At 38.3% G+C, this 15,334-nt stretch overlaps 1 long non-coding RNA gene across 1 annotated transcript in view; it reads right to left on the bottom strand.

Moving 5' to 3' along the window:
* TACR3-AS1 (TACR3 antisense RNA 1) overlaps positions 1–15,334 on the bottom strand; it is a 75,707-nt gene that overhangs the window by 60,145 nt on the left and 228 nt on the right. The window contains exon 2 of the long non-coding RNA NR_186501.1: positions 11,705–11,770. This is a non-coding gene — a long non-coding RNA (TACR3 antisense RNA 1). The remainder of the gene's footprint in view (positions 1–11,704; positions 11,771–15,334) is intronic.

The raw sequence follows: 15,334 nt of genomic DNA, 5'->3' as shown, positions 1-15,334 counted from the left end.
ACATCTTCAATTACCTTTGTATTGCTGTAATTTTCTATGTTAGCCATCTTATCAGGTGTGTAAAAAATTACATTGTTGTTTAAATTTGTATTTTACTGATGACCAAAGCTAAGCACCTTTTAAAGTTGCTCACCTTTTAAAACAAGTATTGCCGCTTAAGGTGGATCACCTTTTAAAACACTTATTGTACAAGGTTACTCACTTTTTAAAACACTTACTACACCTATGGCATTTGATGATCAAAGTTGAGCACCTTTTAAATATTTATTGGCCATTTGGAGCTATTCTTTTGTGAGCACTTAACATTTTTGCTCATTTTTTTTAAATTGGATTACTTTTTTCTTCTAATTGATATGTAGAATATTTATATATATATTTTTTAAGTATGAATGCTTTATCAGTTATATACATTTAAGTATAGTCTTCCACTCTGTCACCTGAATTTTCTGACATTTGAGTGATATCTTTTGATGAACAATAGTTCTCAATTTTAATGTACTACAATTTACCAATCTTTTCCTTTATGGTTAGTACAGTGTCCTCCAAATAAACAATTGCCTACCCAAAACCCATGAAGATATTCTTCTTGGATTTCTTTTAGAATAGTCATTGTTTTACTTTTGACATGTAGATCTACATTCTGTACAAAATAATCTCTGTGTATAATGTGAGATAGGTATCAAAATTCATTTTTTGCACATATTTAATTGCTCGAACATAATTTATTTAAAAGACCAGCTTTTCTCCCACTGTATTGAAGTGGCATTTTGTTTTAAATCAGGTGGCAGTATGAAGATGTGCAGGTGTTTTTCTGGATGCTATTTTATTACATTGGTCTGTTTGTTTGTGTTTCATTATCACAATGTCTTGATTACTGTAACTGTATAGTAAAGTACTAATGTGTTAGTGAAACTCTTCCAACTCTTTTCTTTTACCTCGTAAAGACTGTCTTGGCTATTCTGAGTTCTACAAAGTTTTGAATTAGCTTTGCATTCTCAACAAGAAAATCTGATCAACTTTGAATGAGATTGCATTGAATGTAAGAATAAATTTGAGCAAAGTTGACATTAAAAACAATATTGAGTTTTTAATTCACAACCACTATATATATGTCCATTTACTTAGGTTTTCTATTCTCCCCAATAATGACTGATAAGTTTTCTGTGTAGAAGTAATTAAATTATTCATAATACTCCATTTCAGATGCTATATTGATTTTATATGAATTTTTAATTTTATCCTATCTCTTCTGGTATATAGAAACACAATTGATGTGTGTATGTTCATCTTGAATCTGGATGACTTGCTTCTTCACTCATATGTTCTGAAAATATGTCCATAGATTCTTTAGGGTATTCTACAAACAGCATCAGTCATCTGCAAATTGTGACAATTTCATTTCTTCCTTTCCAATTCTTTAACATTTCATTTTTCTCTTGCTTTTTTTCTTTCTCCATGTCTTATTTATTTATCTTAAAATATCTAATTGGCAAATAAAGATTGTGTATATTGAAGTTGTACAACATGATGATTTCATACACATATACATTATGCATTGATTGTCCCAATCAAATTAATGCATCCATCAGTACTCATGTTGTACAAGAGATCCCTAAAACTTAATTATCTTATAATGAAAAGCTTGTACCTTTAATAAACTTCTCCCCTTTTTCCCCACTTGCCAGGCCCAGACAACTACCATGCCACTCTCTCTTTCTACAAGTCAGACTTTCACAGATTCCAAGTATAAGTGAAATCATTCAAAATTTGCCTTTCTGTGCCTGGCTAATTTCACTTAACACAGTGTCTTGCAGGTTCATCTATATTGTCACAAATAGCAGAATTTTCTTCCTTTTTATGGCTGAATAATATCCCATGGTATATACCACATTTTCTTTATCCATACATTCAATGATTAACACTATGGTTGTTTCCATATATTAACTATTGTAGATAGGGCTGTAATAAACATGAGGGTGTAGATATATCTTCCAGATACTGATTTAATTTATTTTAAATATAAACACAGAAGCGGGATTTCTAAATCATACAGTAGTTCTATTTTTAATTTTTTAAGGAACCTCCATACTGCTTTCCATAATAGCTGTACTAATTTGCACTCCCACTCAAATATATGAAGCTTCCCTTTTCTCCACACCTTTGCCAACACTTGTTATCTCCTGACATTTTTATATTAGCCATCCAACAGGTGTAAAATGATATCTAATTGTATTTCTCATTTTAATTTTTTTGATGATTAATTATGTTGAGCATCTTTTTGTATACCTGTTGGCCATTTGTATACTTTGGAAAAATGTCTGTTCATTTATCCTATGCTGATTTTTTATAAGGTTGTTTTCTTGAGTTGTGTGAGTTCCTTATACATTTTGGAGATTAATCCCTTATAAGATACATGGTTTGCAAATATTTTCTCCCATTCTGTAAGTTGCCTTTTTATTTTATTGTTTTCTTTGTCATGCAGAAGCTTGTTATTTTGATGTAGTCTCACTAGTTTACTTTTGCTTTTGATAACTTTATTTTGGGTATTATATTAAAAGAATCATTAATAAGACCAATGCCAGAAGGCTTTTTTCCCATATTCTAGAAGTTTTTTGGTTTCAGGTCTTATATTTAGATCTTTTATCTATTTTGATTTTTATATATGCTATAAGATAAAGGTTCAATTTTATTATTTTGCATGTTGATAATTCAGATTTTTCTGTGTCCTTTATTTAAGAGAGTTTCCTTTCTTTGTTGTGGACTTTTGGCACCCTTGTTAAAGATTAGTAGACCATATATGCATGGGGTTATTTCTGAGCTGCCCTTTCTGTTCCATTAGTTTATGCATCTGCTTTTAAGCCAGAACGATACTGTTTTGATTACTATAGCTTAGTAATATAGTTTGAAATTTGGGAGTGTAATGCCTCCAGCTTTACTCTTCTTTTACAAGATTGCTTTGGCTATTTGGAATCTTTTGTGGTTCCATGTGGATTTAAGGATTGTATTTCTATTTCTATGAAAAATGCCATTGGAATATTGATGAGAATTGCACTGATTTGTAGATCACCTTGGGTAATATGGACATTTTAATAATATTAACTATTCTTATTCATGAAGATTAAATATATTTCCATTTATTTGTGTCTTCTTCAATTTCTTCTATCAATATCTTATAGCTTTTAGTGTACAGACCTTTCAGCTCCTTCACCAAATTTACTTTTAAGTATTTTATTCTTTTTCTTGTGTTTGTAAATAAGATCATTTTCTTAACTTCTTTTTCAAATAGTTCTTTGTTAGTGTATAGCTATGCAACTGATTTTTTATATTAATTTTGTATCCTGAATATCAAAACCAGATTAAGATGCCGCAATAAAAGAAATTACAGGCCAAAATCCCTAATGAACATAAATGTGAAAGACTCTCAACAAAATATTATCAAAGCAAATTCAGCAGCATACTTAAATGATCATACACCATGATTAAGTGGTATGGAAGGATGGTTCAGCATCACAAATAAATGTGGTAAACCAATTGACAGAATGAAAGACAAAAAACATATGATCATCTCAATAAATGCAGAAAAAAATTATTTGACAAACTTCAACATTATTTTATGATTAAAAAAAACTCTCAATAAATTAGGTACAGAGGGAATGGGCCACAAAATAATAAATGCCATTTTTGACAAGCCCTGGGCTAATATCATACTCAATGAAGAAAAGCTGAAAGCTTTTCCTCTAAGATCAAGAACAAAACAAGGGTTCCCACTCTCACCATTTCTATTCAGCACAATGCTGAAGGACCTGCCTAGAGCAATTAGACAAGAAAAAGAAACAAAAGGTGACCAAATTGGAAAGGAAGAATTTAAATTGCCCTGTTTGCAGATGACATAATCTTACATACAGAAAATCCTAAAAGCTCCATCTAAAAAACCTTTTAGAATAAACATTTTTTTTTTGCTATTTTTTACTAAGAATTCTAGCAAAATGCTCAACAGATCTACAGTATGTACAATATACAAAATACGTGTTAATTGCTTGTTTATGTTACCAATAAAGCTCTGGTCAACAGTAGGCTATTAGCGATTATGTTTTTAGGGAGTCAAAAGTCATATATCAATTTTTAGCTGTGCAAGGGGTTGGTGCCCCAACCTCCACATTGTTCAAGAGTCAACTATAATGATAGTGAATTATTGTTTTGCTCCCATTCCAGAAGAGAGGGTTATAATCATCATTGAACATACTGTACAGGACCCTTGCAATTACATTTCACCCACTAAGTTAATTGTCCATTAGCTTGTAATATATATGGTTATCATCAGTTCTTTTAATGGTTAGCCTAAAAATTACAATATTCATCCTTGACTTATTAATGTAGTATTTCTAGAGAACAAAGAGATCTTATCTTAATTTCATTTACCCCAAAGCTGAATTTGGTGATGAAACCAGGCACTTCTGATGGCTGAGGAAGAGCAAAATTTCAACTTGACAATCACAGATGACTGCTGAAGCAGATACAACCACTGAGGCAAAAATCTGATTGCAAGGAACCTGAACTCCCTGACTTGAACACCTGCAAAGGACAGGGATTAGGGCCCTTAGGTACACTACTCTGCACCCAGGAGTTACAAATCACTAACACTCTGAACTGTGACTTTTCTGGCGTCCCATTCAGATGATTTTTATGATGTATGTGGTTTTTATTTGCTCTGTGGGCTTGCACAAGCCATCCTAAGACCTTCATGGTAAAATTTCAATCCTGTCTCAAATTGACAGTTTAAACCCTTAATAAAGCCTTATATTTTAAAGCACACATACACACACACACATACATGTCAGGCCTCTGAACCCAAGCCAAGCCATCGCATCCCCTGTGACTTGCATGTATATGCCCAGATGGCCTGAAGTAACTGAAGAATCACAAAAGAAGTGAAAACGCCCTGCCCCGCCTTAACTGATGACATTCCACCATTGTGATTTGTTCCTGCCCCACCTTAGCTGAGTGATTAACCCTGTGAATTTCCTTCTCCTGGCTCAGAAGCTCCCCGACTGAGCACCTTGTGACCCCCGCCCCTGCCCACCAGAGAACAACCCCCTTTGACTGTAATTTTCCATTACCTTCCCAAATCCTATAAAACGGCCCCACCCCTATCTCCCTTCGCTGACTCTCTTTTCGGACTCAGCCCGCCTGCACCCAGGTGAAATAGACAGCCATGTTGCTCACACAAAGCCTGTTTGCTGGTCTCTTCACACTGACTCGAGTGAAATTTGGTGCCGTGACTAGGATCGGGGGACCTCCCTTGGGAGATCAATCCCCCGTCCTCCTACACTTTGCTCTGTGAGAAAGATCCACCTACAACCTCAGGTCCTCAGACCAACCAGCCCAAGAAACATCTCACCAATTTCAAATCCGGTAAGCGGCCTCTTTTTACTCTTTTCTCCAGCTTCCCTCACTGTCCCTCAACCTCTTTCTCCTTTCAATCTTGGTGCCACACTTCAATCTCTCCCTTCTCTTAATTTCAATTCCTTTCATTTTCTGGTAGAGACAAAGGAGACACGTTTTATCCGTGGACCCAAAACTCCGGCGCCAGTCACGGACTGGGAAGGCAGCCTTCCCTTGGTGTTAAATCACTGCAGGGACGCCTCTCTGATTATTCACCCATGTTTCAAAGGTGTCAGACCACGCAGGGACGCCTGCCTTGGTCCTTCACCCTTAGTGGCAAGTCCTGCTTTTCTGGGGAAGGGGCAAGTACCCCAACCCCTTCTCTCTGTGTCTCTACCCCTTCTCTGCTTTTCTGGGGGAGGGGCAAGTACCCCTCAACCCCTTCTCCTTCACCCTTAGTGACAAGTCCTGCTTTTCTAGGAGGCAAGAACCCCCAATCCCTTATTTCCACACCCTGACCTCTTATCTCTGTGCCCCAATCCCTTATTTCCACACCCCAACCTCTTATCTCTGTGCCCCAATCCCTTATTTCCGTGCCCCAACCCCCCTTCCCACTTTTCTGGAGGATAAGAACCCCCGAACCCCTTCCCTCCGTGTCTCTATGCTCTCTTTTCTCTGGGTTTGCCTCCTTCACTATGGGCAACCTTCCACCTACCATTCCTCCTTCTTCTCCTTTAGCCTATATTCTTAAGAATTTAAAACCTCTTCAACTCTCACCTGACCTAAAATCTAAGCATCTTATTTTCTTCTGCAATGCCACTTGACCCCAATACAAACTTGACAGTAGTTCCAAATAGCCAGAAAATGGCACTTCCAATTTTTCCATCCTACAAGATCTAAATAATTCTTTTCGTAAAATGGGCAAATGGTCTGAGGTGCCTGACATCCAGGCATTCTTTTACACAATAGTCCCTTCCTAGTCTCTGTGCCCAGTGCAACTTCTCCCAAATCTTCCTTCTTTCCCTCCTGCCTGTCCCCTCAGTCCCAACCCCAAGCATCGCTGAGTCTTTCTAATCTTCCTTTTCTACAGACCCATCTGACCTCTCCCCTCCTTGCCAGGCCAAGCTACGTCCCAATTCTTCCTCAGCCTCCGCTCCTCCACCCTGCAATCTTTTTATCACCTCCCCTCCTCACACCTGGTCCTGCTTACAGTTTCATTCTGTGACTAGCCCTCCCCCACCTGCCCAGCAATTTACTCTTAAAAAAGTGGCTGGAGCCAAAGGCATAGTCAAGGTTAATGCTCCTTTTTCTTTATGCCAAATCAGAAGTGTTTAGGCTCTTTTTCATCAAATATAAAAACCCAGCCCAGTTCATGGCTCGTTTGGCAGCAACCCTGAGACGCTTCACAGCCCTAGACCCTAAAAGGTCAAAAGGCCATCTTATTCTCAATATACATTTTATTACCCAATCTGCTCCTAACATTAAATAAAACCCCAAAAATTGGAATCTGGTCCTCAAACCCCACAACAGGACTTAATTAACCTCACCTTCAAGGTGTACAATAATAAAAAAAAGTTGCAATTCCTTGCCTCCACTGTGAGACAAAGCCCAGCCACATCTCCAGCACACAAGAACTTCCAAACCCCTGAACTGCAGCAGTCAGGCATTCCTCCAGAACCTCCTCCCCCAGGAGCTTGCTACAAGTGCCAGAAATCTGACCACCAGGCCAAGGACTGCCGGCAGCCCAGGATTCCTCCTAAGCCACGTCCCATCTGTGTGGGACCCCACTGCAAATCGGACTGTTCAACTCACCTGGCAGCCACTCCCAGAGCCCCTGGAACTCTGGCCCAAGGCTCTCTGACTGACTCCTTCCCAGATCTTCTCGGCTTAGCGGCTGAAGACTGACACTGCCCGATTGCCTCGGAAGCCCCCTAGACCATCATGGACGCCGAGCTTCAGGTAACTCTCACAGTGGAAGGTAAGCCCGTCCCCTTCTTAATCAATATGGAGGCTACCCACTCCACATTACCTTCTTTTTAAGGGCCTATTTCCGTTGCCTCCATAACTGTTGTGGGTATTGACGGCCAGGCTTCTAAACCTCTTAAAACTCCCCAACTCTGGTGCCAACTTAGACAATACTCTTTTAAGCACTCCTTTTTAGTTATCCCCACCTGCCCAGTTCCCTTATTAGGCTGAGACACTTTAACTAAATTATCTGCTTCCCTGACTATTCCTGGACTACAGCTATATCTCATTGCCGCCCTTCTTCCCAATCCAAAGCCTCCTTTGCATCCTCCTCTTGTATCTCCCCAACTTAACCCACAAGTATAAGATACCTCTACTCCCTCCTTGGTGACCGATCATGCACCCCTTACCATCTCATTAAAACCTAATCACCCTTACCCCACTCAACGCCAATATCCCATCCCACAGCACGCTTTAAAAAGATTAAAGCCTGTTATCACTGGCCTGCTACAGCACAGCCTTTTAAAGCCTATAAACTCTCCTTACAATTCACCCATTTTACCTGTCCTAAAACCAGACAAGCCTTACAACTTAGTTCAGGATCTATGCCTTATCAACCAAATTGTTTTGCCTATCCACCCCGTGGTGCCAAAACCATATACTCTCCTATCCTCAATCCCTGCCTCTACAACCCATTATTCTGTTCTAGATCTCAAACATGCTTTCTTTACTATTCCTTTGCACCCTTAATCCCAGCCTCTCTTCGCTTTCACTTGGACTGACCCTGACACCCATCAAGCTCAGCAAATTACCTAGGCTGTACTGCCGCAAACCTTCACAGACAGCCCCCATTATTTCAATCAAGCCCAAATTTCTTCCTCATCTGTTACCTATCTTGGCATAATTCTCATAAAAACACACATGCTCTCCCTGCCATTCTTGTCAGACTGATCTCTCAAACCCCAGCACCTTCTACAAAACAACAACTCCCTTCCTTCCTAGGCATAGTTGGTGCAGTCAGAATTCTTACACAAGAGCCAGGACCGCACCCTGTAGCCTTTCTGTCCAAACAACTTGACCTTACTGTTTTAGCCTAGCCCTCATGTCTGCGTGCAGCGGCTGCCGCTGCTTTAATACCGTTAGAGGCCCTAAAAATCACAAACTATGCTCAACTCACTCTCTACATTTCTCATAACTCCCAAAATCTATTTTCTTCCTCATACCTGATGCATATACTTTCTGCTCCCTGGCTCCTTCAGCTGTACTCACTCTTTAAGTCCTACAATTACCATTGTTCCTGGCCCGGACTTCAATAAGGCCTCTCACATTATTCCTGATACCACACCTGACCCCCATGACTGTATCTCTCTGATCCACCTGATATTCACCATTTCCCCATATTTCCTTCTTTCCTGTTCCCCACCCTGATCACGCTTGATTTATTGATGGCAGTTCCACCAGGCCTAATCGCCACACACAAGCAAAGGCAGGCTATGCTGTAGTACAAGCCACTAGCCCGCCTCTCAGAACCTCTCATTTCCTTTCCATCCTGGAAATCTATCCTCAAGGAAATAACTTCTCAGTGTTCCATCTGCTATTCTACTACTCCTCAGGGATTATTCAGGCCCCCTCCCTTCCCTACACATCAAGCTTGAGGATTTGCCCCCACCCAGGACTGGCAAATTAGCTTTACTCAACATTCCGGAGCCAGGAAACTAAAATACCTCTTAGGCTGAATAGACACTTTCACTGAATAAGTAAAGGCCTTTCCTACAGGGTCTGAGAAGGCCACCGCAGTCATTTCTTCCCTTCTGTCAGACATAATTCCTCAGTTTAGCCTTCCCACCTCTATACAGTCTGATAACAGACCAGCCTTTATTAGTCAAATCAGCCAAGCAGTTTTTCAGGCCCTTAGTATTCAGTGAAACCTTTACATCCTTTACGGTCCTCCGTCTTCAAGAAAAGTAGAATGGACTAAAGGTCTTTTAAAAACACACCTCACCAAGCTCAGCCACCAACTTAAAAAGGACTGGACAATACTTTTACCACTTTCGCTTCTCAGAATTCAGGCCTGTCCTCAGAATGTTACAGGATACAGCCCATTTAAGCTCCTGTATAGATGCTCCTTTTTATTAGGCCCCAGTCTCATTCAACACCAGACCAACTTAGACTGTGCCCCAAAAAAACTTGTCATCCCTACTATCTTCTGTCTAGTCATACTCCTATTCACCATTCTCAACTACTCATACATGCCCTGCTCTTGTTTACACTGCCGGTTTACACTGTTTCTCCAAGCCATCACAGCTGATATCTCCTGGTGCTATCCCCAAACTGCCACTCTAAACTCTTGAAGTAAATAAATAATCTTTGCTGGCAAGGCTAGGCTGAACCTCCTTGGGCACTCTCTAATCAGATGTCCTAGGTCCTCCCAATTCTTAGACCTTTTATACCTGTTTTTCTCCTTCTCTTATTCCATTTAGTTTTTCAATTCATACAAAACCGTATCCAGGCCATCACCAATCATTCTATACGACAAATGTTTCTTCTAACAACCCCACAGTATCACCCCTTACCGCAAGATCTTTCTTCAGCTTAATCTCTCCCACTCTAGGTTCCCACACCGCCCCTAATCCCACTCAAAGCACCCCTGAGAAACATCGCCCATTCTCTCTCCATACCACCTGCAAAAATTTTCGCCGCCCCAACACTTCAACACTATTTTGTTTTATTTTTCTTATTAATAAAAGAAGGCAGGAATGTCGGGCCTCTGAGCCCAAGCCAAGCCATCGCATCCCCTGTGACTTGCATGTATATGCCCAGATGGCCTGAAGTAACTGAAGAATCACAAAAGAAGTAAAAAGGCCCTGCCCTGCCTTAACAGATGACATTCCACCATTGTGATTTGTTCCTGCCCCACCTTAGCTGAGTGATTAACCCTGTGAATTTCCTTCTCCTGGCTCAGAAGCTCCCCGACTGAGCACCTTGTGACCCCCGCCCCTGCCCACCAGAGAACAACCCCCTTTGACTGTAATTTTCCATTACCTTCCCAAATCCTATAAAATGGCCCCACCCCATGTCCCTTCGCTGACTCTCTTTTTGGACTCAGCCCGCCTGCACCCAGGTGAAATAGACAGCCATGTTGCTCACACAAAGCCTGTTTGCTGGTCTCTTCACACGGACTCGAGTGAAAATACACACGCACACACACACAAATGGACATTTACCCCACTCCTGCTTTTGTGCTATTGTGGTCATGCATAGTATTTCTTTTTTGCTGTTGTTTTTCTTGTTGTTTTCACTGTCATACAGGTATTTATGATGGAAACAGAATCAGAGTCTGACCTTCCTGACTTGAAGTACAAGGTTTTTGGGGTTTTTCATTCGTGTTTTATGTGTTTTTTAAAAAATTATTTGTGTTTTTAATCGACAAATAAAAACTGTATACACATATGCTTCCTGATTTATAATGGGGATACATCCCAAGAAACCTACTGTAAGTTGAAAATAATGTAAGTCAAACATGCACTTAGTAAACCTAGCTTACCAAACATCATAGCTTAACCTAGCCTAGGTTAAACATTCGTGGGACACTTACATTAGTCTACAGTTAGGCAAAATCATCTAATACATAGCCTACTTTCTAATAAAGTTATTAGAAAGGATTTTTATTCAAAAATCAAAATATGGTTTCTACTTAATGTTTATTGCTTTCACATCATCGTAAAGTGGAAAAATATAGGTCAAGCCATCGTAAGTCAAGGAATGTTGGTATATCGTAATGGTGTACATGATATTTTGAAATATGTATACTTTAATAGCTATAGTGAGCTAATTAACATATGAATTGCCTCACATTCTTATCATTTATTTGTGGTGAGTAGATATAAAATCTACTCTTTTAGCAATTTTTAAGTATGCAATACACTATTGGAAGGGTCTCTGGCTAAGTTAGTTTTCTTTCTGAACGGACATTTCTCACTAACAAGTGCAGAAATTCCCTGTGAACAGGGGAAGCGGTAATGCTGACAACAAAACTCAGATGTAAATTTAGAATAAAAAAGGGCTCATGGTTGACTGCTTTGGGCTATACTTCCATAATCTCTCAAAAAAAAAGTAAGGTATTGTCCTCTGGAGTATTTTGATGGAAAATTTTAGGAAGACTTGATAATCTGTAAAAGTTGTAGGCTTGAGATCCTAAAAGATCTGTATCTAAATTCATGTATTCTACAGAAGTTTACTTAATTACTCCAGGTTTATTTTTCCTTACTTGTGAGGTAAATGTTGTAATACACATCTACCTCACAAAGGTGTTGTGAGAATTCAATGATATGTTATTTATAAAGAAAGTATTGATTACCTTCCTTCTGTCCCAGTGATAGATCACAACAAGAGATCATGAAGAGGGCATGGCCGCCATGTCATTCTGGAGAGAGACAGAGTAAAACAAAGAAGGTGATGGGTAAAGCGCAGTCGCCTGCTATATATTGTCTATTTTTGGTTTTTCACTTACCTTTTATATTTATGCCTTTTATGTACAACAGGATTATAAGCAGCTTGAGTCCAGTGAATATACCATTTCATTTTGCTATCCTTCACTGCACTTAGCTTAGAGGAAATAATCACAGCTTATTATTGATTAATTAATTAATAGATGAATGGTGAACAGATGATTATCATCCCAAGAAATGGGATTTTTTTAATTCTGGGCAACTAGGAAAGTTTTTAGCTACAGAGAAATATTGACATGGGCAACAACTTCATCTTACAGCAAAAAGTCCTTTTTTTTTTTTTTTTTTTCTTTTTGGAGACAGAGTCTTGTTCTGCAACCCAGGCTGGAGTGGAGGGCAGTGGTGTGATCTCGGCTCACTTCAACCTCCGCCTCTTAGGTTCAAGTGATTCTCCTGCCTCAGCCTCCCGAGTAGCTGGGACTACAGGCATGCACCACCGCGCCCAGCTATTTTTTGTATTTTTAGTAGAAATGGGATTTCACCATGTTAGCCAGGCTGGTCACGAACTCTTGACCTCAGGCAATCCACCTACCTCGGCCTCCCGGTGTGCTGGGATTACAGGCATAAGCCACCATGCCCAGCCCAAAAAGTCATTTTATTTATTTTTTAAAAAGATATTGCCAAGTTTGAGAGGGAAAAATGATTCATTTTACAACTGTGACTAGTACCAGATCACAGATAACATATGTATAAAAAACTTGCCTTTGTGGTAGTAACAGAGGCAGTTGGAAGAAAGCAAGCAGAGAAAACGACCAACTGTTGAAGCTTTTATCACCACTTTGTTCAAACATGCACTAGAACAATTTGGAATGGTATTAATTTTCAACTTAAACCTATAATGTAATATCTCAAGAATTGTTACAGAAAGACTGAGTAAATATATACGAGAAAGAGCTCTATAATTTAATTATATTATATATTAGAGAAAGAGCTCTATATTCCACTATAACATGTGATTTAGGCATACCTCTCTCCTAGAAGAAAATGCAATTCAAGAGGCAAATTCATGATTTCTTTTTCAGTGGGTTGGGTGGGCTAGCTTACACTAACTTTCAAAAACTCAACTTATGACCAAAATTCTACAAAGAAGTTTTATGACTCAGGATGTGTGTGTTAATGTGCTTATTTTAACAGCAGCCTCTCTACAAGTCTCCTAACTTAACCTGATGGGAAAACACTTCCTACCACTAACAGCATCTACTTGATTACTGATACTTTGATCATGGAGTTTGGGCATGCCACTTGATAGAAATTTGAAGAGCAATTATATTTTTCAAAAAGAGTTTTGAATAATGTTAAGATAGATTGCAACATGACTATCAATTCTTCCCTTCCCATCAAAGGAGAGAGTCCGTTTATCCAGCCTTTGAATCTTGATTATTCATGTGACTTGCTTCACCCAATGTAACATTAATAAGCACAATACAAGCAGAGGCTTGCCAAGAACTTGGTTTGTTTCTAATGCTTAGAAGAAGAATGGTGTATGCCATATTTCTGCATTTAGAACTCACGTGGAGACATGTGTGGCCCAATTGCTTCTCTTTCATCTCAGGCAATAACCAGACACGGGACTGAGGCCATCCATGACCAGCCAGCCCTAGCCAACACACAACACACAAGCTGATCACAGATGCATGAGTAAGCCTGAGACCAGCCAAGACCAGCCTAGAATAGAACTGCTCAGCAGCAATAAAAACTAAATAAATTGTTACCTTAAGCTACTTTTAGAGCTATTTGGAAGTGTATTTTTGTGCAGCTAACATTTACTAGCAGATAAAATGGTGATTGTTTATCTCTGTTTTATTGATGTTTTAAGGAAATTGTTTCTATTAAAAGGAAATATCTGGTCTTTGTCACGTTAAATCAGGTTTAGCCTGAAGTTGTCTCCTTAAATTTGCGGCACAACTCCCACCCTGCAATACTTCAAATTGTTTCACCTTTTTTGACAGAACCAAGGTATATCTTAAATGTACTTGATTGATGTCTCATGTCTCCCTAAAATGTATAAAACCAAACTGTGCTCTGACTACCTTGGGTACATGTTCTGAGGGTCTCCTGAAGGCTGTGTCACAGGCCATGGTCTTTCATATTTGGCTTAAAACAAATCTCTTCAAATATTTTATGTAGTTTGACTCTTTTCCTCAATAGAACTCATCATTTAACCAGTTAAGTATTTTGAGTTAGTTTGGGATTAAACACGAGAGTTTTGACAGGGAGCTGAAACAATAGTAGTTTCATCAAAAGTTGATTCTTGGTGCATGTAATTTTCTATTACAGTGAACACAGATAATAATGATGCATATGTCTTTACCTAGATTAGAGAAAGGAAGAGAAAAAATAAAAATTTTGGAAATGAGATAAAAAGATATTGATCTCACTGATGTTTCTGAATCTAAGACTGAACTCAATTATTAGTTGTATTTACTGCTTATTAGATTTACTAAGAAAGTTCTTTAAGGTACTTACAGCCCTAAAATTATTTGCAATATTCAATAGCAAGGGACTTAAATACAGTCCTGATTACTCCATCACAAAATGCCAAAAACAATTAGGATCTTAAAGGAACTACCCAAATAGGTTTAAGATATCACTCAGGCCATAAAAATGTTTTTAAAATTCACATCACAAAATAGCCAAATGACATATCAGAAACAAAAGCAAAAAAGTCATCCTAATTCAAGGCAATTACTTTAGCAATTCAAAATAAAATGTTAAAAGTGACCAAAAAACAAATGCAAAATATTTTAATGACTTTAAATGGCTGTATAATTTCCTCATCACTTCACTTGGCAGAGTTAAGATGGCATTTAACCTAAGTTCACATCATTAAAAAAAACACTGCACCATGATGCTTTTCTTAATATGCATTCTCAAATTAGCATACAGAGAAAAATGAAACTATAGTAGAGACGTAAATTTAATCCCTATTTAGGTCACTAGGCATTTATTAGCCCCACCACAGGTTAATACACTTGCATTTGCATCTGTTTCTAAATGCTAATTATCTGACCTCAGAACACTCACTTATGGGCTTCATTTATTGAAAAACAAATCCCTATGATTTGATCGTAGAGTAACTTTTAATGTCTAACTTTACGTAGTATATTACAGTTTTCAAAACATTTTTATAAAAAGTATTTTGTTTATTTACAGCAACTATATATCATAGATATTAATGTGTATATTTTGCATTTAAGCAAGTTGGAGTTCGTAAGGTTGAATTACTTGAAATGTACAAATAGATAGTAGTGAATATTTAAAGTACATTTTTAAAAATATGACCCAGAAAAATAGGTGGCATTTAAGAAATATAAGCATGGTATCTATCTTACATGTATATTAGGAGTGGACAGTTTTCTAAGATTAGAAGCAAACAGTTGTCAAGCAAGGGTTCTAATTTTTGTAAGTCTTGTGGGAAAGAAAGATAATAGAGGGTTTCATTGCAAAGATATAAAACTACTCTAGATAATTTAAGCAAA

This window comes from Homo sapiens, chromosome 4, assembly GCF_000001405.40.
Source record: "Homo sapiens chromosome 4, GRCh38.p14 Primary Assembly".
Taxonomy (NCBI): domain Eukaryota; kingdom Metazoa; phylum Chordata; class Mammalia; order Primates; family Hominidae; genus Homo; species Homo sapiens.
Note: the sequence above shows the minus strand (reverse complement) of the source record. Positions and strands in the feature narration are given on the sequence as shown.